Raw genomic sequence first — 23,567 nt, forward strand, 5'->3', positions numbered from 1 at the left:
CCCACTTTCCTAAGTGGAAATAAGGAGTCTGAATGAAGAACAACATTCTCCAATTTGAGATTAAGATGGAATTCTGAAACAGATTCTCTGATTCAAACTTAATGAAAGTAAATGAAATGGGGCCGGTTGCGGTGGCTCACACCTGTAATCCCAGCATTTTGTGAGGCCAAGGCGGGCAGATCCCTTGAGCCTAAAAGTTCAAGACCAGCCTGGGAAACATGGTGAAACCTCATCATTAAGAAAAACGCAAAAATTAACTGGGCTTGGTGGTGCGTGCCTGTAGTCCCAGCTACTCGGGGAACTGAGGTGGGAGGAATGCTTGAAGCTGCAAGGTTGCGGCTGCAGTGAGTCATGACTGTGCCACTGCACTCCAGCATGGGCGACAGAGCAAGACCTTGTCTCAAAAAAAAAAGGGGTGGGGGATGATTAACTGAAGGCTTGTATAATGGAGTTGACACCATACACTGCACAGCAGACAGACTGGTATTTATCTTGCAGGGGGCAAAAAAGGAGGCCTATTCTCTAAAGAAAATAAAATAAACTGGAAAGAACAAATGCTGTTAGTGTGGATGATGCTACCCCAGAGTAAACTTTTCCAGATTCTGGCATTCAGTGGGACCAAACATCACACAGGTAGCCTCCTATTTACTCTAAAGAAAAAGCTGGCCAGGCACGGTGGCTAATGCCTATAGTCCCAGGACTTTGGGAGGCCGAGGCCAGGAGTTCAAGACCAGCCTGGCCAACATGGTGAAACCCCGTCTCTACTAAAAATACAAAAATTAGCCAGGCACAGTGGCATGCGCCTGTAATCGCAGCTACTCGGGAGGCTGAGGTGTGAGAATTGCTTGAATCCGGGAGACAGAGGTTGCAATGAGCCGAGATCATGCCACTGTGCTCCAGCCTGGGCGACAGAGCGAGACTCTGTCTCAAATAAAAGAAAAAAAAAGAAAAGAAAGAAAAAGCCTTGCTAGGGACGTAGGGCTATCAATCAGGTCTCTAATGCCTCATCCATAAAAATAAAAGGTGACTAAGGATCATCGAACATTTGAGGAAAGCCCACGGCCCCAAAGACAGAGACCAAGATAAGCAATTGGAAAACTGACCCTACAAGAGAGATATGCATTCAGGAGAAAGACCAAACTTAAAAACTAGTTAATATGAATAGAGAAATGTTAAATGATGCCGATTTCCATACAGACTATGATGCTCTAGTCTAAAAGATGAGTAAAGTCAGAAAGAAGTTCTAGAAAATAAACTTGACCATTCCCTAAATGTAGGGGGGAAAAATGCCCACTTATCTCATAATCGCCCATTATCCCGTAATATCTCTACTCAAGATAATAATGCTCAAAAAGAGATGAGACAAACACAATCAAACCAGAAGTTCCCACATCTGAATAATAGAGTTGCAGAAAGAGAAACTTATGAAAATAGAAGAGATAAAATTATTAAAGAAATTCAAGAAATTTCTGGAGATTGAACGGAAGCTCTACTTAATTTTTTATTAGGGAAATTTTTAAATCCCAGTGTTAAGAAGACTCTAAAGGCTTCTAGGTAAAAAAAGCTAGAAGGGCAGTAATTAGACTGTCATCATCTATCTCATCAGAAAGCCAATACACTAAAAGACAATGAGGCAATGACTTCTAAATTCTGAGGATTTTTTTTTTAACCTAGTCTAAGTATCAACAACATTTGAGAGCAGAATAAAGTTTTTCAAATATGGACCAACATTGAAACTTATCTCCCATTCATCTTCTCTGAAGAAGTTACTTAAAGTCAAGAAAACAAAGCAGTAAAACTGAGAAAGAAGACATAGGATCCACAGGATTCTGTTTTACAGATCAAAAACAGAAGAGCCAAAAAGGAAGTTCCAAGAGCACAACTATAGAGAAGGCCTGAAATGCATTTAATCTGACCTAGAGCCAGAGACCAGAGAGCTCTGAGAGATTCCGGGGAAAAAAACAAAGACAAGAAAGTATGCTTGAGACATACTTTCTGGAGGAATCTAACAATATGATAAAAAAGAGGTAACACAAGGGAGAAAAACATAATTACGAATTCCAAGAAACAAACAAAATCTAAACAAAAAAAGTTATGTAATTATAGCACAAGACACAGTCAAAATAACATAAATGCAGATTATTGATTTTCTACTTCAAAATCAACCTAATGATAAAGCACAAAATACCTAATTATGGCTACAAAGTAGAACGTAAGGATTCTTTGTAAACACTGTAAAGACAGAATTTAGGGGCCAGTTGGGAGAGAAAGAAAAGTCCACCAATATTTTCATGTTACGAAGTTAAAGTGCCTACAGTTAATGAAACCAAAAACAAAGGTTGAGGCATATGCTTGTGTGTGTGTGTGTGTGTGTGTGTGTGTGTGTTCATCCACAGTTCCTGGCTCGTAACTCCCACAGCCCTTGTTAGTCTTTTGTTATAATGTTGGGGCTCTTTAGGCCTCAAAAGCAGGCCTCAGAAAACAGACCTCCTGCCCTCTTTCACCTGCTCCTTTTTCTTCCCAATGCAGTAACGTAATCCTCCCGTGCCTTTCCATAAAGAAATTATCTGACCTACCTTATCTGATCCTGATTCATAAGATCCCCATTTCAGAGCCCCATACCTTGGGGGAAGGAATGATGCACAGAGAGGCCAAGAATCTGAACAGACAGGCCCTGCTGGGTTTCCATACTCAGTCTATTAGGTCGTACTCTTTTTGTCCAATCACATTTCTACACAGTTGACCATGCTTTGTTCATGCCTATCCAATGAAGTCTTCATGAAAGGCCCAAGAGGGTGAAGTATGGAGAGCTTCCAGACAGCTGAATAAGTAGAGATTCCTGGAGGGTGGTACACCCAGAGAGGGCATGGAAGCTCTGCATTCCTTCCCATACCTTAGGCCCTATGCATCTATTCATCTCTATCCTTTGTAATATCCTTTATTTAGAAAAACCAGTAAACATGTTGCCCTGAGTTCTGTGAGCTCCTCTAGCAAATTAATTCAACCCAAGGAGGTGTCATGGGAAACACAATTTATAGCCAGTTGATCAGAAGCACAGGTAAAACAACCTGGGCTTGCAACTGGCACTGGAAACGGGGGAGAGGCAGTCTTGAGGAGTGAACCCTCAATCCGTGGGGTCTCCAAGAAGACACTGTCAGAACTGAATTGAATCAGAGGACATCTAGCTGGTATCTGCTGCAGAACTGATTGGGTGGTGTATGGCAGGGGAAAAAGTCTCATACATTTGGTCACAGGAGTCTGTGTTCATTGTTGTGGTGTGAGAGCAGACAACAAAACAGTTTGAAGTTTTCCTACTCAAGGTATATTAAAGTTATAAAGTAATCAAAATAGATAATAACAAGTGTTGGTGAAGAAGTGAAAAAAACTGGAACCCTTACACATCGCTGGTGGGAATGTAAAATGGCACAACCACTTTGGAAAGTTTGTTAATTCCTCAAAATGCTAAACATTAGAATTACCATATGACCTAGCAATTCCACTTCTAGGTATTTACCAAGAGATGAAAACATGTATCCACACACCAAGTTGTACATGGATGTTCACAATGCATAGTTGTATGATTTTGTTACCAGTAGTGTTAACCTGAATGGGATCTGGTTACCTTGGAAATGCAGGAACTTATTATGAATGTACTATAAAGTAAAATGCTGACTGATTCCTGGGGACAGGGTGGAATATACAAATACAACATTATTCATAATAACCAAATAGTGGAAATAATCCAAATGTCCACCAACTGCTGAGCGGATAAACAAAATTCATATATCTATACATAAAAAGGAATGATGTACTGATACCTGCTTTAACAAGATGAATGAACCTTGAAAACATTATACTAAGAGAAGCCAGTTACAAAAGACCACATAATCCTAAGATTTTATTTACATGAAATGTCCAGAAAAGGCAAATCCATTGAGACAGAAAGTAGATTAGCGGTTGCCAGGGTCTGAGTAAAGCGAGTAATGGTGAGTGACTACTAATGGGTTTGGAGTTTTCTTACAGGAGGATAAAAATGCTCTAAACTTAGATCATGGTGAGATATAACAATTCTGAATATGTTAAAACAATGGAAGTGTACACTAGATGGGTGAATTTATGGCATGCAAATTATGTCTCAATAAAGCTTTAGAAAACTAGGTCCAAATATAGTGCTTTATTGAGAGGAAGAGAGAGATAAAGTGGTGATAGTACAAGTGAACTATATCTTCCTCAATCATAGCAAGAATTTATGGTAATAGCTAAAGCTGATCAATCAAAGAATAGCAGTAAGTATGCTGGAGATGTGCACGTCTATCCAACTATTAATAAAATAAACAAAAAGCAATGGGTAAAAGTAGTTGCTTTAGGAAGTAGACCTATGTCTAGGGAAAAGGTGAGACAGAGGACTATGTAGCAGTTATTTAATTAATTCATTAATTCATTCATTTATGAGACAGGGTCTCACTCTACCGCCCAGGCTGCAGTGCAGTGGTGCTATCACGGCTCCCTCCAGCCTTGTCCTCCTCAGTTCAAGTGATCCTCCCACCTCAGTCCCAAGTATCTGGGACTACAGGCGTGCACCACCATGCCTGGCTAATTTTTAAAATTTTTTAGAGATGTGATCTCACTATGTTACCCAGACAAGTCTCAAACTCCTGGGCCCAAGTGATTCTCCAGTCTCAGCCTACCAAATTGCTGAGATTACAGGCATGAGCTACCACACCCATCCTGTAGCTTTTATTTAAAAAGGCTTCCACTGCGTATTCTATTGGAACAAATTAGACACCTAAATGTCCAACAAGAGGTGGGTTGAATAGATTTATTAGCTGCATAGATCACCTGTATGTTTATTTAAATTTGATTACCAATTTGTTCATGTAAGGTAAAACCTGTAATTGCTAAAAGGATCATCTATGCAGGCCAATTGATCAATACATTGCATTATGAATGTTTACTATATTTGAAAATGTATCCATGCAATGAACTTTTAAAGTATTTATAACAGCACAATTCTCAATTCCAAAGATATGGAACCAACCTAAGTACCCATTGATCAACAAACAGATAAAGAAAAATGTCGCATCTATACACCATGGAATACCACTCTGCCATGAAAAGGAATGAAATGTCTTTTGCAGCAACTTGGATGGAGCTGGAGGCCATTATTCTAAGCGAAGTAAATCAGGAATGGAGAAAAGCAAATACTGTATGTTCTCACTTATAAGTGGGAGCTAAGCAATCAGGACTTATAGATATACAGAGTGATATAATGGACTCTGGTGACTTAAGGTTGGGGAGAAGATTGGGGGGTTAGGGATAAAAGACTAGATATTGCGTAAAGTGTACACTGCTCAGGTGACAGGTGCACTAAAATCTCAGAATTCACCACTAAAGAACTCATTCATGTAATAAAAACCACCTGTACCCCAAAACTACTGAAATAATTATTTTTTTAAGTTATGTATTACTATATTTTTTACAAGTTAATTTATCACAAAATTTAGCCATGCATGGTGGCAGGCATCTGTAATCTCAGCTACTTGGGAGGCTGAGGCAAAAGAATCACTTGAACTTGGGAGGCGGAGGTGGCAGTGAGCCGAGATCATGACATTGCACTCCAGCCTGGGCAACAGAACGAGACTCCATCTCAAAAAAGTTAATTTATCATATTATCAGGTTCTTCCAGTGTCAAGCATGCCTTCTTCTCTGTTTTCCCTAAAACCTCCCTCTTAAAGCCCTCTGAACTCCAGTTCACATTTTCCAAAACAAAACAAAAATGTCAACAAATCCTACACAGACACCGGGCGTGGTGGCTCACGCCTGTAATCCCAGCACTTGGTGGCCAAGACAAGCGGATCACCTGAGGTCACGAGTTCAAGACCAGCCTAGCCAACATGGTGAAACCCCGCCTCTACTAAAAATACAAAAATTAGCTGGGCATGGTGGCGCGTGCCTGTAGTACCAGCTACTCAGGAGGTTGAGGCAGGAGAATCGCTTGAACCTGGGACGTGGAAGTTGTAGTGAGCTGGGATCGCACCACTGCACTCCAGCCTGATGACAGAGCGAGACTCCATCTCACAAACAAAACAAAACACTGGTGATCTTTAATGAAGCACAATTAGGCAACCACTATACTCCAAACAGATTTTTTTCCAATGGCCTACAAGACCTTACGTGATCTGTCTCTTCATTGCCCCCTCCAACCCATCTCTCTATACATATCTTCTTAGGCTTGTGCTAAAGTGGCACCCTTTCAGAGAACTTCCTTGACTTTCCTATATGAAACAGCAGTGTTTGCCACATGCCCTCTGCCACTCCCCTTAACCCGCTACTTTTCTTCAGCACTTGGCATTTTATTGTCTTCCTCCAGACACTCCCAGAATGTAAGCTTCATGAGGGCAGCCTTTTTTTGTTCAATGGCATATCCTAAATGCCTAGAACCGGGATGTGTACAAGGTATTTCTCTTTCGTATTTAGTTATTATTCATTCTTCAGTTAAAGTCCATTACACATCTGCCCCCAACAGAACTAGACTGTGAAGAGCCTTAAATGTCAAGCATTGAAGCACTTTACAAAGAAGGAAGTGCAGCCATTAGAGTGGCCCTACAGAAGAAATGCTTTAGAAAGATTCCTTTGGGGCCGGGCACGGTGGCTCATGCCTGTAATCCCAGAGCTTTGGGAAGCCGAGGCGGGTGTATCACTTGAGGTCAGGAGTTCGAGACCAGCCTGGCCAACTTGGCAAAACCCCATCTCTACTAAAATACAAAAATTAGCTGGGCATGGTAGCGGGCACCTGTAACCCCAGCAACTCGGGAGGCTGAGGTAGGAGAATCGCTTGAACCTGGGAGGCAGAGGTTGCAGTGAGCTGGGATCGCACCACTACATTCCAGTCTGGGCGACAGAGCAAGACTCCATCGCAAAAAAAAAATAATAATAATAAAAAAATAAAAAAAAATAAAAAGATTCCTTTGGTAAGGTTTGTAAAATGTAGGGGAACCAGAAAGCAGAGATGTTGGGGACCACTGCAGAGATAATAGTTACAGCAAAGGTCTCTGGAGTCAGGAGACTTGAGTTTGATCCTGGCTCCACAGTTTACCAGAGCTCCAAAACTCTGAACAAACTGTTAGTGTAAGAAGCTCTCTGCGCCTCTCGCCTTATGTGTAAAATGAAGGCAGAAATGATGCCTACCTCATAGGGCATTTGCGAGGATATGTTATTCCTGTGGTTAATACAGTGCCTGAACATAAATTTTAGCATTGTAGGTAGAAAATAAAAGAAAAGAAACAAGCAAGTATGTGTTCATGTATTCAACTTAGTTTTACTGAGTGTCTGTAGATATCCCAGGTACTTTTTTCTAGGCACTGGGAATGCAGCTGTGAGCAAGTATAGGGTCCCTGCCTTCACTGTGTTTACATTCTAGCATGAAGTGACAAAAAATAGCCCTAATTTATCTGAACCTATCCGGTTCTTGAGTTTTAGCTGGTGAACAGCAGAAGTTGGGACAGCAAAGTCCTATCTCAGTCTCTCCAGGAGATACATGCTCTACAATGTCAGGCTATGAAGAGAGCTATAGAGAAAAATTAAGTAGGGCAAGGGGACACAGTGTGCTCATGCTATTTTAAATAGTGTTGTGACATTTGAGTAAGGAGGTGAGCGATGCTGGGAGTTTATCTGGAATGATTCAAAACGGTGGTTTCAGAAAATGGAAATTTAGGGAGAGGAACGGATTTAAAGATGGTATGTTTGGGGTTTTAGAAATGATTTAGTTATGGCTCTAAAGGATGGATTAAAGCTGGGCATGGTGGCACACACCTGTAGTCCCAGCTACTCAGGAGGCTGAGGTGGAAGATCACTTAAGCCCAGGAGTTCAAGGCCAGCCTGAGCAACACAGTGAGATTTCCATCTCTTAAATAACAAAAAACTAAAAATTAAAGAGAGAAAGAAGGAGAGACTAAAAGCTGACTGGAAAAAGCACCTTTGAAACTTTAGTTTACTTACATATAAACTTTAGTCTTTTCTGTCTTGGGAGTGGGGAATGGTTAAGATCTCCTAATGCAGGGAACTGCCTTCTGAGGCCTGTGTTAGAGGCTGAATTGTGCCCCTCCTAGAAAGATACGTTGGAGTGCTATCCTCCAATAACTGGGCTTGTGACATTATTTAGATACAGGGTGGGTCTTCACAGAGGTAATCAAGTTAAGATGAGGTTATCAGGATAAGCCCGAATCCAACATGACTACTGTCCTTTTAAAAAGAGAAAATCTGGATGTAGAGACACACACACATATAGAGGGAAGATGATGTGAAGAGACACAGGGAAAAGATGGCCATCTACAAGGCAAGAAAAAGGCCTGAAACAGATTCTCCCTCACAGCCCTCAAAAGGAATCAACCCTCTGACACCTTTTAGACTTCTAGCCTGTGAGATAATAAATTTCTGTTGTTTAGCCACCCAGTTTTTGGTACTTTGTTACAGAAGACTGAAGAAAACCATGTTTGTATACTTATTTCCCTTAAGAAATCCTAAGTCTCTTGAAGGAAAGGACTGTGTCCCAGTCATCTCTGTATCCCTTCTAGAGTTATCACACTTATTTAGATGTGATGCAAAGATTTAACGAGATGCTATTTTAGGTTCTAGCACCTACACACAATGGAACTCAATAAATGCTAAATTTCTCCCACTACCTTTTCCATATATATTTTTCCTGAAAGATTTTTTTCTTTTGCAAATTGACATAATCCTTTACATATCTAATTTTATCCAAACTTAACTTCTGAGACATACTCACAAGTAGTCTAAGTTTCTCAACTCAGAAATCTTAAGCTGGAACTAGGGTCTAACAATATAAAAATAAAAATCTGAGTGCCTAAGTTTATCAGGTGTTACATACAAATAAATATAATTCAACCTTGATCCTCAGGTGACTATACTCCAAACTCTACCATATATACACACACATATATATAAATATACATGAAAATGAAACACCAACACATGAGCTAAAACTATTAGTTTGATACACTAATAGTATTAAGAAATGTCACATAGGCTTGGCACAGTGGCCCCATGTCTGTAATCCCAGCACTTTGGGAGACCAAGGCGGGAGGAATGCTTGAGCCCAGCCTGGGCCAGATGGCGAGACTCCGTCTCTACAAAAAAAAAAAAAAAAAAAAGAAAAAAAAGATTAGCCAGTCTTGGTGGCATGTGCCTGTAGTCGCAGCTACTAAGGGAGCAGAGGCAGGAGGATCCCTTGAGCCCAGCAGTGTGATGCAGCTGTAAGCTATGATCACGCCACTGCACTCCAGAGCCTGGGTAACAAAGTGAGACCCTGTTTCTAAAAAATAAAAAATAATAATAAAATAAAAATCCAAAAAAAAGTCACATAAAAGACAAAGATAAACCCATCTAAGGTAAAGAACGAAGCATGAGAAAGAAAGCAGTCATCCAAAAACTTATTTCACCTCAGTACTGGGCTAGGCACTCAATGCAATTTCATCCTTATAACCTTGCCATCTACAGATAAGGCAACTTGAACTGAAAAGTCAAAAGAAACTGTCCATGTTCACCTAACAATGGTGTTGGAGGCAGGCTGAAATCCGGGACTGTGTAATTCAAAAGGACAAGCTCTTTTTGATAAACAGCATATTGAGCATGTACTGTATTATCCTTCTACCTAGAAATATTAGCATGAATTACCTAATTTATCCCACTGCATTCTTCTTTCTAGTAAAGAAAAATGCAAAATACAATTCCTGTTAAAGCTATTCTAAAAGGCATAAAAACTAGCAGAAGGGAGCTTGTCCTCAAGCTCATATGTAGGTAGAAAAAACCTGGCATCTCTGATCAAATTGCTAAGTGGAGGCACATCAAAAAATGTTCATAAGCTGAAGAGTAGCACAATAATTAAAGGCAAAGTGGGCCAGACATGGTGACTCACACCTATAATCCCAGCACTTTGGGACGCCAAGGTGAGAGAATCACTTGAGCCCAGGAGTTCAAGACCAGCCTAGGCAACACAGTGAGACCCTGTCTCTATTTAAAAAAAAAAAAGCAAAGTGAATGAACGGAAAGATAGGGTTGCCTACAAGGTACATTGATAATCAGTTACAAAATAAGGCTTACCCTAATATTTCAGGAAACAAAAGTTCACAAGAGGCCGTGGTGGCTCACGCCTGTAATCCCAGCACTTTGGGAGGCAGGGGTGGGCAGATTACCTGAGGTCAGGAGTTTGAGACCAGCCTGGCCAACCTGGTGAAACCCCACCTCTACTGAAAATACTACAATTAGTCAGGTGTGGTGGCATGTGCCTGTAATCCCAGCTACTTGGGAGGCTGAAGCACGAGAATCACTTGAACCCGGGAGACAGAGGTTGCAGTGAGCCGAGATTGTGCCACTGCACTCCAGCCTGGGTGACAGAGTGAGACTGTCTCCAAAAAAAAAAAAAAATCACAACACTATCCCCAAAAGGACTGTTAGCCTTGTTCAAAATGCCTAGGCCTCTATGACACTCAGATCATAAATTTTAGAATTTGAGTAAATTAAAAAAGGTTATCAACATGATTGACTACAAGTACCAAGCTTCATACCATTGATGTTTTTGTTCACCAAACAAGAATTGGTGACAATTGTTACGTGGTAGTTAAAATGTATATTAAAATTTCTGAAACTTCTTGATATGCCATCCTAAAATACTCATCAATATTGTTCAAGGCATTTAAGCCACCAATAAATTACCCAATAGCAATGAATTACACACCTGGACTTCTGTCCAGGTTGGAGTACAGTGGCACAATCATGGCACGTAGCAGCCTTGACCTTCCAGGCTGAAGCAATCCCACTTTAGCTTTCCAAATAGCTGGAACTATTAGCGTGCATCACAACACCCAGCGAATTTTTTTTTTTTTTTTAAAGACAGGGTCCCACTGAATTGCCCAGGCTGGTCTTGAACTCCTAAGCTTAAGTGATCCTCCCACCTTGGCCTCCCAAAGTGGTGGGATTATAGGCATGAGCCACCATGCCAAGCCATGATTTTTATTTATCTAGCTCCTGCCAACTGATTTTTGTGTTTAGTGGAAACATTTTACTACAGTTATCTGAAAATTAAGTGTATTCAAATTATTTTGTGGGCTTCTGATAACTTTCTGAAGTTATACCCTGTTAAATTAGTTGAAAAACTGGATACTATGGTCTTCACAGCTGATCTTTGTTGGTCTTTTTCAAATTTCCAAAGCTAATCCTCCACTACGAGGCCCATGGAACCATGGGGCTCTTCCACAACTGTGCTTAATACTATCACTCAGAGAGGGAACTTGCAACAGTCAGCCTATTAATGCCTACCTTTCACCATAAAGACTCTGAGGCAGAGATTACATACTACAGGCTGCAAGCTGAATCCTGCCTGTAAACAAAAGTATACAATGGTTTTTAAATAAAGTCGTGGGCTGGGTGCAGTGGCTCACGCCTGTAATCCCAGCACTTTGGGAGGCCGAGGCAGGCAGATCATGAGGTCAGGAGTTTAAGACCAGCCTGGCCAACATGGTGAAACCCCGTCTCTACTAAAAATACAAAAATTAGCTGGGCATGGTGGTGCGTGCCTGTAATCCCAGCTACTCGGGAGGCTAAGGCAGGAGAACTGCTTGAACCAGGACCCGGGAGGTGGAGGTTGTGGTGAGCCGAGATCACACCATTGCACTTTAGCCTGGGCAACAAGAGTGAAACTCTGTCACAAAAAAAAGAAAAAAAGTAAAATAAAAAAATAAAAAATAAATAAAGTCGTGGGCTGGGCACTGTGGCTCACACCTGTAATTCTAGTAATTTGGGAGGCCAAGGTGGTGAGAGGATCCCTTGAGGCCAGGAGTTCAAGACCAGCCTGGTTAGTACAGCAAGACTCCATCTCTACAAAAGAAAAGAAAAAAAAAATTAAAAATTAAGGGGGCCTGGTGGTGTAGTCCTAGCTACTCCAGAGGCTGAGGCAGAGGGAATGCTTGAGCCCAGGAGTTTGAGATTGCAGTGACCTATGATCACACCACTGTACTCCAGCCTAGGTGACTGAGACCTTATCTCAAATAAAGAACAAAAAACAGACAAACAAAAGTTGTGAACACTAAACAATCTGGAGAATCACATAAAAACAAAGTTCTAGCTTCTGTTGAAAAAGCTGAAGACGTGGTAATAGTGGACCCATCTTCTCACAGGGTAACAGGAGCTAAGAAACCTTTTCTTCTTTAGATATAAAGGAGGAGGCACACTTCACACACTCTAATAAGCACAGAACCATTCCCTGTTGTCTTACTCATAGTATGCTTCATAAGCCATATTCTAAAAAAAAACCCAACATAATCACAAATTACATACAATATTTATTTTAAGCAATAAGCCTAGACGACCCAAATAATTCTGCAAGACTTGGACTTTTTAAAAAAGTCAAAGATGATGTAAAATGAAAGCAAAATGAAACACATGAATCTGAGAAATTAGGTGGTAGCATAATCCTACAGCAAGGAACTAGTCAGTGCAACTATAAAATTCAGTCACTTGATTCTACATCCCCAGTGAAATATACTCTAAGAACAATAACAAAAATTGTGATCTTCTTTAGTAATCATATTGTTGGGGTAGTGCTGGAATTGTAATTCTAAGACTGTTGTGTATATATTGTAGGAAAAAGAAAATGAGCAATCATGATGCTGTTGAGAACTGGGATTTTCAGCGTGGGAGAAAGAAGAGTGAAATATAAAATCAAACAAAAATCCTTGGGTCCTATGATTCCATGTTTAAGTATAACATGAACTCATGATTTTTTTAAATGAAAAAACACAACTTATTTCCTAAGCTCTAGTCACAGAAAAAGCATAGAAACAATGACTAACTCACTCACTAGTAATAAGCTCCTTAAGCGCTCAGATTATGGTCTCCAAATACCATTTCCCACTAAAAGGCTTCTTGGAGAGACAGCTATTTCCTAGCCGGGGGCAGAAAATGTACAAGATAAGCCTTAGACATACTGTCACACCAGATTAAAAAAAGCAATCAAAGACATCTCAGGTTGAGTAAAATGAACTCAGGAGATACCATGAAAAAAAACTCCAATTAGCCAACAGTGGACAAGCAATAAAAATAACCACACATGATACAACATGCACGAATTTTATTATTTTTTTTTTGAGACAGAGTCTCACTCTGTCACCTGGTCTGGAGTTCAGTGGCATGATCTCGGCTTACTGCAACCTCCACCTCCCAGGTTCAAGTGATTCTCATGCCTCAGCCTCCTGAGTAGCTGGGATTACAGGCGTGCACCATCACGCCCAGCTGATTTTTGTATTTTTAGTAGAGACAGGGTTAGGCCATGTTGGCCAGGCTGGTGTCAAACTCCTGGCCTCAAACGATCCACCGGCCTTGGCCTCCCAAAGTGCTGAGATTACAGATGTGAGCCATGCACGAATATTAAAAACATTAAGTAAAAGAAGCCAGTCACTAAAGATAACATATGTTATGATTCCATTTATATGAAATGTCCAGAACAGGAAATTCCATAGGCACAGAAAGTAGATTAGTGGCTGCCTAAGGTTGAAGGTGAGGCAGTGTCGGGAGTCAAGGGGTATGACTGCTAATAGGTCCAGGTTTCTTTTGGAGTTGATGAAAACAACCTAAATTTACACTGCAGTGATGTTTGTGCAACTCTATGAACATACTAAAAACCACTGAATTGCACAGTTAAAATGAGTTTTAATTATACCTCCATAAAACTGTAGGAAAAAAAAACCCACTCTAATGGACTAAACCACAAATACGTTCAAATTTGTGAGTTATTATCAAATGTTTATTGGTCATTTTGGAGCATGCTAGGGATCTGTCAACTCTCTCTCTGGGTAACCAAAGTTATGAGATAAAGTTTCTCTTTATAGAAGTATTACAATTAATAAATTAAGAAATAGAATATTACCATTTTTGAAACCCTAAATAAATTAATGGATCTAAGCAAGGATCAATAGCCACTAACACCACAAAAAGAGAGACAACCAGAATTGATGTTTCCTGATGAAAGTTTACACCACCACCCATAGGTAGTTTGCCAAAAACAAATCTGCAAGGAAAAGAACCACAGAGAACTTACAGAGTAAAAGACTAGAAACTTTTCAAACAAAGGCAATGGAAAGACTTTGTGGATCCTGATCCAAAGAAAATTAGGAAAATTTGAACACAGATTGAATACTTGACATTAAAGACTTGTTTAAAAAAATTTAGGGCAATTATACTACCGTAGCTATGCTTTAAAAAAATTAAGAGTCTATAATTTATAAAATAATATGATGCCTGGGATTTGCTTTAAAATAAGATGGAGTGAGGCTGGGCGCGATGGCTCACACCTGTAATCCCAGCACTTTGAGAGGCTGAGGTGGGTGGATCACCTGAGATCAGGAGTTCAAGACCAGCCTGACCAACATAGTGAAACTCCATTTCTACTAAAAACACAAAATTAGCTGAGTGTGGTGGCACATGTCTGTAATCCCAGCTACTTGGGAGGCTGAGGCAGGAGAATCACTTGAACCCGGGAGGCGGGGGTTGCAGTGAGCCGAGATTGCACCATTGCACTCCAGCCTGGGCAATGAGAACAAAACTCCGTCTCAAAAAATAAAAAATAAAAAATAAAAAATAAGTAAGATGGAGTGAACACATGAATAACAAGAAAGAGGAACAGCCTTGATATAGTTTGGCTCTGTGTCTCTACACAAATCTCATGTCAAATTGTAATCCCCACATCAGCAGAGGGATGAGGTGGGAGGTCACTGGGTCATGGGGGTGGTTCACCCACGCTGTTCTGATAGTTTGTGAGTTCTCACGAGAGCTGATGGTTTTAAAGTGTGGCACTTCCTCGTTCTCGCAGACATTCCCTCCTGCCACCTTGTGAAGAAGGTGCCTGCTTCCCCTTCACCTTCCACCATGATTGTAAGTTTCCTGAGCCCTCGTTATGCTTCCTGTTAAGCCTGTGGAACTGTGAATCAAACTTCTTTCCTTTATATACCCGGTCTCAGGTAGTATTCTTTATAGCAGTGTGAAATGGACTAATACAGTAAATTGGTACCACAGAGAGTGGGGTACTGCTATAAAGATACTTGAAAATGTGGAAGCAACTTTGGAACTGGGTAGTGGGCAGAGGTTGGAACAGTTTGGAGGAGGGCTCAGAAGAAAACAGTAAGATGTAGCAAAGTTTGGAGCTTCCTAGAGACTTGCACTATTTTGACCAAAATGCTGATAGTGAGGTGAACAATGAAGTCCAGGCTGAAGTGGTCTCAGACGGAGACAAAGAACTTATTGGGACTAAAGTAAAGGTCACTCATGCTATGCTTTAGCAGAGACTGGCAGCATTCTGCCCCTGCCCTAGAGATCTGTGGAAGTTTGAACTTGACAGAGATCATTTAGGGTATTTGGCAGAAGAAATTTCTAAGCAGCAAAGCATTCAAGACATGACCTGGGTTATTCTGAAAGCATTCAGTTTTATGCATTCAGAAAGAAATCATTTGAAATTGGGACTTATGTTTAAAAGTGAAACAAAGAATAAAAGTTTGGGAAATGTGTAGCCTGACAATGGGATAGAAAAGAAAAAAACATTTTCTGGGGAGAAATTCAAGCTGGCTGCTAATCACCAAGACAATAGAGAAAATGTCGTCAGGGCATGTCAGAGATCTTGGCGACAGCCCCTCTCATCACAGACTCAGAGGCTTAGGAGGAAAAAGCTAAAAGGGGCTAAGGTACAGCTTGGGCCATTGCTTCAGAGGGTTCAAGCCCCAAGCCTTGGCAGCTTCCACGTGGTGTTGGGCCTGCAGGTGCACAGAAGTCAATAATTGAATCTCTGTCTAGATTTCAGAGGACATATGGAAATGCCTGGATGCCCAGGCAGAAGTCTGCTGCAGGGGTGGAGCCCTCATGGAGAACCTGTGCTAGGGCCATGCAAAGGGGAAATGTGGGGCTGGGGCCCCCACACAGAGTCTGCACCGGGGCACTGCCTAGTGGAGCTGTGAGGAGTGGGCCACTGTTCTCCAGACCCCAGAAGGGTAGATCCACCAATAGCTTGCACCATGTACCTGGAAAAGCCACAGGCACTCAATGCCAGTCCATGAAGGAGCTGCCCAAGGCTATGGGATCCCACCCCTTGCATCGGCATGCCCTGGATGTGAGACACAGAGTCAAAGGAGATTATTTTGGAGCTTTAAAATTTAGTGACAGCCCGGCTGAATTTCAGACTTTAATGGGGTCTGTAGCCCCTTTGTTTTGGACAATTTCTCCCATTTGGAATGGGAACATTTGCCCAATGCCTGTATCCCCATTGTATCTTGGAAGTAACTAACTTGCTTTTGATTTTATAGGCTTATAGGTGGAAGAGACTTGTCTCAGATGAGACTTTGGACTTGGGACTCTTGAGTTAATACTGGAATGGGTTAAGACTTTGGGGGATAGTTGGGAAGGCATGATTATTTTGCAATGTGAGGACAAGAGATCTGGGAGGGGCCAAGAGTGAAATAATACAGTTTGGCTCTGTGTCCCCACCCAAATCTCATCTCAAATTGTAATACCCACATGTCATGGGAGAGACCACGTGGGAGGTGATCAGATCATGGGGGTGGCTCCCCTCATGCTGTTCTCATGATAGTTCTCACGAGACCTGATGGTTTTGAAGTGTGGCACTTCCTTGCTGTTGCACACACTTCCTCCTGCCAACTTGTGAAGAAGATGCCTGCTTCCCCTTTGCCTTTCACCATGATTCTAAGTTTCCTGAGGCCTCCCAGCCATGCTTCCTGGTAAGCCTGTGGAACTGTGAGTCAATTAAACCTCTTTCCTTTATAATTACCCAGTCTCAGGTAATATTCTTTACAGCAGTGTGAGAACAGATTAATACAAGCCTCATTTCTTTCTTTTTTTTTTTAAGATGGAGTTTCGCTCTTATTGCTCAGGCTAGAGTGCAATGGCATGATCTCAGCTCACTGCAACCTCCACCTCCTGGGTTCAAGAGATTCTCCTGCCTCAGCCTCCCAAGTAGCTGGGATTACAGGCATGCGCCACCGCACCCGACTAATTTTGTATTTTTAGTAGAGACGGGCTTTCACCATGTTGGTCAGGCTGGTCTCGAACTCCCGACCTCAGGTGATCCATCTGCCTCAGCCTCCCAAAGTGCTGGGATTACAGGAGTGAGCCACCACGCCCAGCTTGCAAGCCTCATTTCTGAGATGGAGAAAGTTTTAGTGGTCTGAATAGAAGATCATACCAACCACAACATTCTCTTTAGCCAAAACCCAATCCAGAGCAAGGCCCTGGATTTTATGAAGTTTGTGAGAGGTGAGGAAGCTGCAGAAGAAAAATTTGAAGGTAGCAGAGGTTGGTTCATGAAGTTTACAGAAAGAAGCCATCCCCATAACATAAAAGTGCAAGGTAAAGCAGTGAGTGCTGATGAAAAAGCTGCAGCAAGTTACCTAGATGCTAAGATAATTGATGAAGGTGGCTATACTAAACAGCAGATTTTAGGTGTAGACAAAAGAGCCTTCTATTGGAAGATGATGCCATCTAGGACTTTCATAGCTGGAGACAAGTCAATGACTGGCTTCAAAGCTTCAAAGGACAGGCTGACTCTTGTTAGCAGCTAACGTACCTAGTGACTTTAAGTTGAGGCCAATACTAATTTACAATCACAAAAATCTTAGGGCTCTTAAGAATTATGCTAAATCTACTCTGCCTGTGCTCTATAAATGGAACAACAAAGCCTAGATGACAGAACATCTGTTTACTGCATAGTTTACTGAATATTTTAAGGCCACTATTGAGACCTTCTGCTCAGAAAAATAGATTCCTTTGAAAATATTACTGCTCATTTGCAATGTACCTAGTCACCCAAGAGCTCTGATGGGAATGTACAAAGAGATTAATGTTGTTTCCATGCCTACTGACATAACATGTATTCTGCAGCCCATGGATCAAGGAGTCATTTCAACTTTCAAGTCTTATTATTTAAGAAATACATTTGATAAGGCAATAGCTACCATAGTGATTCCTCTGATGGGTCTGGGAAAAATCTATTGAAAACCTTCTGGAAAGGATTCACGATTCTATATGCCATTAAGAACAGTCATGGGGAGAGGTAAAAATATCAACATTAACAGGAGTTTGGAAGAAGTTGATTCCAACCCTCATGCATGACTGAAATGTTCAAGACTTCTGTGGAGGAAGTAACTACAGATGTGGTAGAAACAGCAAGAGGACTAGAATTAGACATGGATCCTGAAGATGTGACTAAATTGCTCCAATCTCATAATAAAACTTGAACAGATGAGGAGCTGCTTCTTATGATGAGAAAGTGGTTACTTGGCCGGGCGTGGTGGCTCACGCCTGTAATCCCAGCACTTTGGGAGGCCAAGGTGGGAGGATGGCTTGAGCCCAGGAGTTCAAGACCAGCATGGGCAACATGGTGAGACCCTGTCTCAAAATAACTGATTAGTTTATTAATTAATTTTTTTAAAAAATAAGTTTCTTTCTTTTTTGTTTTTAAGAGCTAAGGTCTCACTATGTTGCCCAGGCTGGCCTTGAACTCCTGGGCCCAAGCAATCCTCCCATCTCGGCCTCCGAAGTAGCTAGGACCACAGGTGCATGCCACCACACCCAGCAGAAAGCGGTTTCTTGAGATGGAATCTACTATTGGTAAAGATGCTGTGAACATTGTTGAAATGACAACAAGGGACTTAGAATATAACATAATCTTAATTTATAAAACAGTAGCACAGTTTGAAAGGACTGACTCCAATTTTGAAATAAGTTCCTCTGTGGGTTAAATACTATCAAACATCATCGCATACTACAGAAAAATCTTTGGGTAAGGGAGGGTCAATAAATGCAGCAAACTTCATTGTTTAAGAAATTGCCACAGCTACTCCAACCTTGAGCAGCCGCCAGATGAGTCAGCAGCCATCAATACTGAGGCAAGACCATAGCTGGGTGCAGTGGTTCACACCCCTAATCCCAACTACTCAGGAGGCTAAGGCAGGAGGACTGCTTGAGGCCAAGAATTCAAGGCCAGCTTGAGGGCAACATAATGAGATTCCATCCCTTAAAAAAAATAAAAAAATAAAAAATAAAAAATGAGCTGGGCATGGTGGCATGTGCCTGTAATCCTAGCTACTTGGGAGACTGATGCAGGAGGAACGCATGCACCCAGGAGTTCGATGCTGCAGTGAGCTATGATAGCACCACTGCACTCCAGCCTGGGCAACAGTACCAGACCCCATCTCCCTTAAACAAAAATTATTATTGAGGCAAGACCTTATACCAGCAAAAAGATTATGACTCACTGAGGGCTCAGATGATCCTTAACATTTTTTAGCAATAACGTATTTTTAAATTAAGGTCTGTACATTTTTAAAAGACATGACGCTACTGCAAAGTTAACAGACTACAGTACAGTGCAAACATAACTTTTATATGCATTGGGAAACAAAAACTTTGTGTGACTCGCTTTGAGGTGGTCTGGAACTGAACGTGAACCCATAGTATCTCCAAAGTATGCCTGTAATACTTTAGCCAATTTAAAAATATCCCCAAACTAGTAACAGTGATAGAGAGGATTTGGAGAGCATGAGCAAAAGAGCTTACCTAAAGTGGGAAAAACCCCACAAAAAAGTGCCAGTTATTCCACAAGGTCTAAATTGATTTTAGTTGATCATCTTTCTTCCCTTCTTTTGGAGACAGGGGTCTTGTTCTGTCACCTAGGCTGGAGTGCAGTGGCATAATCACAGCTCACTGTAGCCTCTACCTCCTGGGCTCAAGAGATCCTCTCACCTCAGTCTCCTGAGTAGCTGGGACTACAGGCACGTGCCACCACACCCAGCTAACTTTTGTGTTTTTAGAAGACAGGATCTTGCCATGTTGCCCAGGCTAATCTCAAGTTCCTGGGCTCAAGGCCTTGGCCTCCCAAAGTGCTGGGATTACAGGCATAAGCCACTGTACCGAGCCTTTTTCACTTTTAGTAAGGGAATTCCTAAGCACCCGCAGCCTTATTCACTTTGGCACTTCAACAAGTTGCTGGTTTCAAGTAATCTAAAGGAAAATGGTAATTTGTCAAGCCTGGGATGCACTGTAGTAGAAACACTAATGTAAATAAAACTTACTAACCAATGAAACTACAGAGGAAGAAGAGAACAAAATATTTTCTGACAAGAGAAGTTCTAGAAATTCAATTTTGCAAGTAAATTTATATTTAAGGGAATCACACACAATTAAAAATGCAAATTTTAAAAAAGATATAACAGTTGACCTTGAGGTAGGAGAATCACTTGAATTCACTTGAATCACTCCAACTCGGGAGGTGGAGGTTGCAGTGAGCCGAGATCGCGCCACTACACTCCCACCTGGGCAACAGAACAAGACCCCGTCTCAAAAAAAAGTAAAAAGCAAAGGAGGCCAGGCACAGTGGCTCACGCCTGTAATTCCAACACTTTGGGAGGCCAGGGTAGGTGATCACCTGAAGTCAGGAGTTTGAGATCAGCCTGGACAACATGGTGAAACCCCGTCTCTACTAAAAATATAAAAATTAGCCAGGTGTGGTGGCACGCACCTGTAATCCCAGCTACTCGGGAGCCTGAGGCAGGAGAATTGCTTGAACCCAGGAGGCGGAAGTTGCAGTGAGCCAAGATCATGCCACTGTACTCCAGTCTGGGTGACAGAGCGAGATTCCATCTCAAAAAAAGAAAAAAAAATAAAAGAGAGAGAAAAAAGAAAAAGCAGAGGAAAAGACAAATTTGCCACGGTTTTAAAAATCAATTTATGTAAAAAGCACACTATAAGTGACATCTGAAGGACCTATAACAAGCTGAGAAATAAAAGTCTGCCGCACAACAAAGGATACTTTCTCTTTTTTTTTTTTTTTTTTTTTTTGAGATGGAGTTTTGCTCTTGTCGCCCAGGCTGGAGTGCAATGGCACGATCTCGGCTCACTGCAACCTCCACCTCCCAGGTTCAAGCAATTCTCCTGCCTCAGCCTCCCAAGTAGCTGGGATTACAGGCATGCACCATGACGCCCGGCTAATTTTTTGTATTTTTAGTAGAGAAGGGGTTTCTCCATGTTGATCAGGCTGGTCTCGAACTCCCGACCTTGGGTGATCCACACGCCTCAGCCTCCCAAAGTGCTGGGATTACAGGCTTGAGTCACCAGACCTGGCTAGGATACATTCTTAATAAAGAGTTCTTAAGATCAAGAAAAAGATCAACAATCTAATATTAAAAATGGGCAAAAAATTCAAAATTACAACAAGGTATTTTATAGATTACCAGATTTGGCAAGATTTTTCAAGTAATATTACCTAGTTCTGGTGGCTTCACAGGAGATACAAGAACACTCCCATTTCCACTGCTTTGCCTAGAGCAGTCCTCTTCCAAGTCTTTGTTCAAATGTCACCTTTTCAGTGTGGCCTCCATCACCCTATTTAAAACTGTAACCTTATCTCCATTTCTCAACCCCCACTTATCTTTCTCTTTTTTCTCCACCTATCACCTAATATACTATTTAATTTACTTATTTATGTCTATTGTTTATTCTGTCTTTCCTCCCACTATAATAATATAGTAGCCAACGGGACAGGAATGTTTTTCTTTCACTGCTGAATCCCGAATATGGAAAACAATGCTTGGGACAGGGTGGGAGATCAAAAACTATTTGTTTAATGAATAAGAGTTAAACTAGTTAAATCCTTTTTTTTTTTTGAAACGGAACTTTGCTTTGTTGCCCAGGCTAGAGTGCAGTGGTACGATGTTGGCTCACTACAATCTCCACCTCCCGGGTTCAAGCGATTCTCCTGCCTCAGCCTCCTGTGTGGCTGGGATTACAGGCACCTGCCACCACACCTGGCTAATTTTTGTATTTCCAGAAGCAGGGTTTCACTGTATTGACCAGGCTGGTCTTGAACTCCTGACCTCAAGTGATCCCCCTGCCTCAGCCTCCCAAAGTGCCAGGATTACAGGCTTGAGCCACTGTGCCCGGCCAAACCTGTTAAATCTTGCTGGAGGAAGGCCGGGTATGGCGGCTTACATCTGTAATCCTGGCACTTTGGGAGGCTGAGGCGGGCAGAACGCGACGTCAGGAGATCGAGACCATCTCGGCTAACACAGTTAAACCTCGTCTCTACTAAAAATGCAAAAACAAAATTAGCCAGGCATGGTGGCGGGCGCCTGTAGTCCCGGCTACTCGGGAGGCTGAGGCAGGAGAATGGCATGAACCCGGGAGGGGGAGCTTGCAGTGAGCCGAGATCACGCCACTGCACTCCAGCCTGGACGACAGAGCAAGACACCGTCTCAAAAAAAAAAAAAAAAAAGAAAAATCTTGCTGGACAAAATTTTGACAAAATGAACTAAAAATATTTTAAATGTATATACCATTCGAAGTATTTATCCTAAGGAAATAATCACTGATGTAAGCAATGATTTGTCCAAAAGATTATTCACTATAGCTGTGAATTAATTGTGAAAAACTGGAAACAGCCCATAGTGGAATATTTAATACACGAAAAATACTCATGATAATGTTAACTAGGGAAAAGTATGCCCAGTGATTCCATTTTTGTCTTTAAAGGTATATACAGGCCAGGTGCGGTGGCTCACGCCTGTAAGCCTAGCACTTTGGGAGGCCGAGGTGGGCGGATCATGAGGTCAGGAGATGGAGACCATTCTGGCTAACACGGTGAAATCCCGTCTCTACTAAAAATACAAAAAATTAGTGGGGCGTGGTGGCACACACCTGTAGTCCCAGCTACTCTGGAGGCTGAGGCAGGAGAATCACTTGAACCCAGGAGGCGGAGGTTGCAGAGAGCCGAGATTGCACCACTGAACTCCAGCCTGGGCGACAGAACGAGACTCTGTCTCAAAAACAAAAAAAAAAAAAAATATATACACACACACACACACACACACACACACACACACACACACACACACGTTTATTAATAAAAATTAAAATAAATTATGGTTGGCTGGACACAGTGGTATGTGCCTGTAATCCCAGCTACTCGAGAAACTGAGACAGGAGAATCGCTTGAACCCAGGAGGCTGAGGTTGCAGTGAGCTGAGATCTCACCACTGCACTCCAGACTGGATGACAAGAGCGAAGACTCTGCCTCAAATAAATAAATAAATAAATTAATTAATTAATTAATTAAATTATGGCATATCAACTTAATGGAATGCTAGATGAGGTTCTCTTTCTGTCCTGACATGGAACTATTTCTAAGACTCAGTGAAAAAGGCAGACCCTAAAAAAAATAGTAAGGCTGCACTATATGGAATATAGAACCAATTTCCAAGGTGCACTGCTAAGTGTAAAAAGCATCAAATACTATTTCATTTTTTAAATTGTTTCAAATTTACTGGCTCTACTTCCTACTGAATAAAAATGTTAGATATTTAAGTATTTTCTCTTGTAAATTTTTTTTTTAATTTGTGGCCAAATTCAAGTAAATTTTCAATATATCTCCCAAATGACTCCACAAATCAGTGTTAGAGCTGAATTAATTTTACTACCAAATGTATACTAAATCCATAATT

The 23,567-nt window shown here is 41.5% G+C and overlaps 1 protein-coding gene across 2 annotated transcripts in view, besides 1 other annotated feature; it reads right to left on the reverse strand.

Moving 5' to 3' along the window:
• SRPK1 (SRSF protein kinase 1) overlaps window positions 1-23,567 on the reverse strand; it is an 88,133-nt gene that overhangs the window by 60,117 nt on the left and 4,449 nt on the right. The gene's annotated exons all lie outside the window — the stretch shown is intronic.
• Window positions 15,736-15,936: a silencer, noted in NCBI's record as "peak5780 fragment used in MPRA reporter construct". NCBI's record gives its function as "represses an SCP1 promoter by STARR-seq MPRAs in K562 erythroleukemia cells {active_cell/tissue: K562}" and the evidence as "EXISTENCE:reporter gene assay evidence [ECO:0000049][PMID:32103011]".

Source organism: Homo sapiens, chromosome 6 (assembly GCF_000001405.40).
Source record: "Homo sapiens chromosome 6, GRCh38.p14 Primary Assembly".
Lineage (NCBI taxonomy): Eukaryota > Metazoa > Chordata > Mammalia > Primates > Hominidae > Homo > Homo sapiens.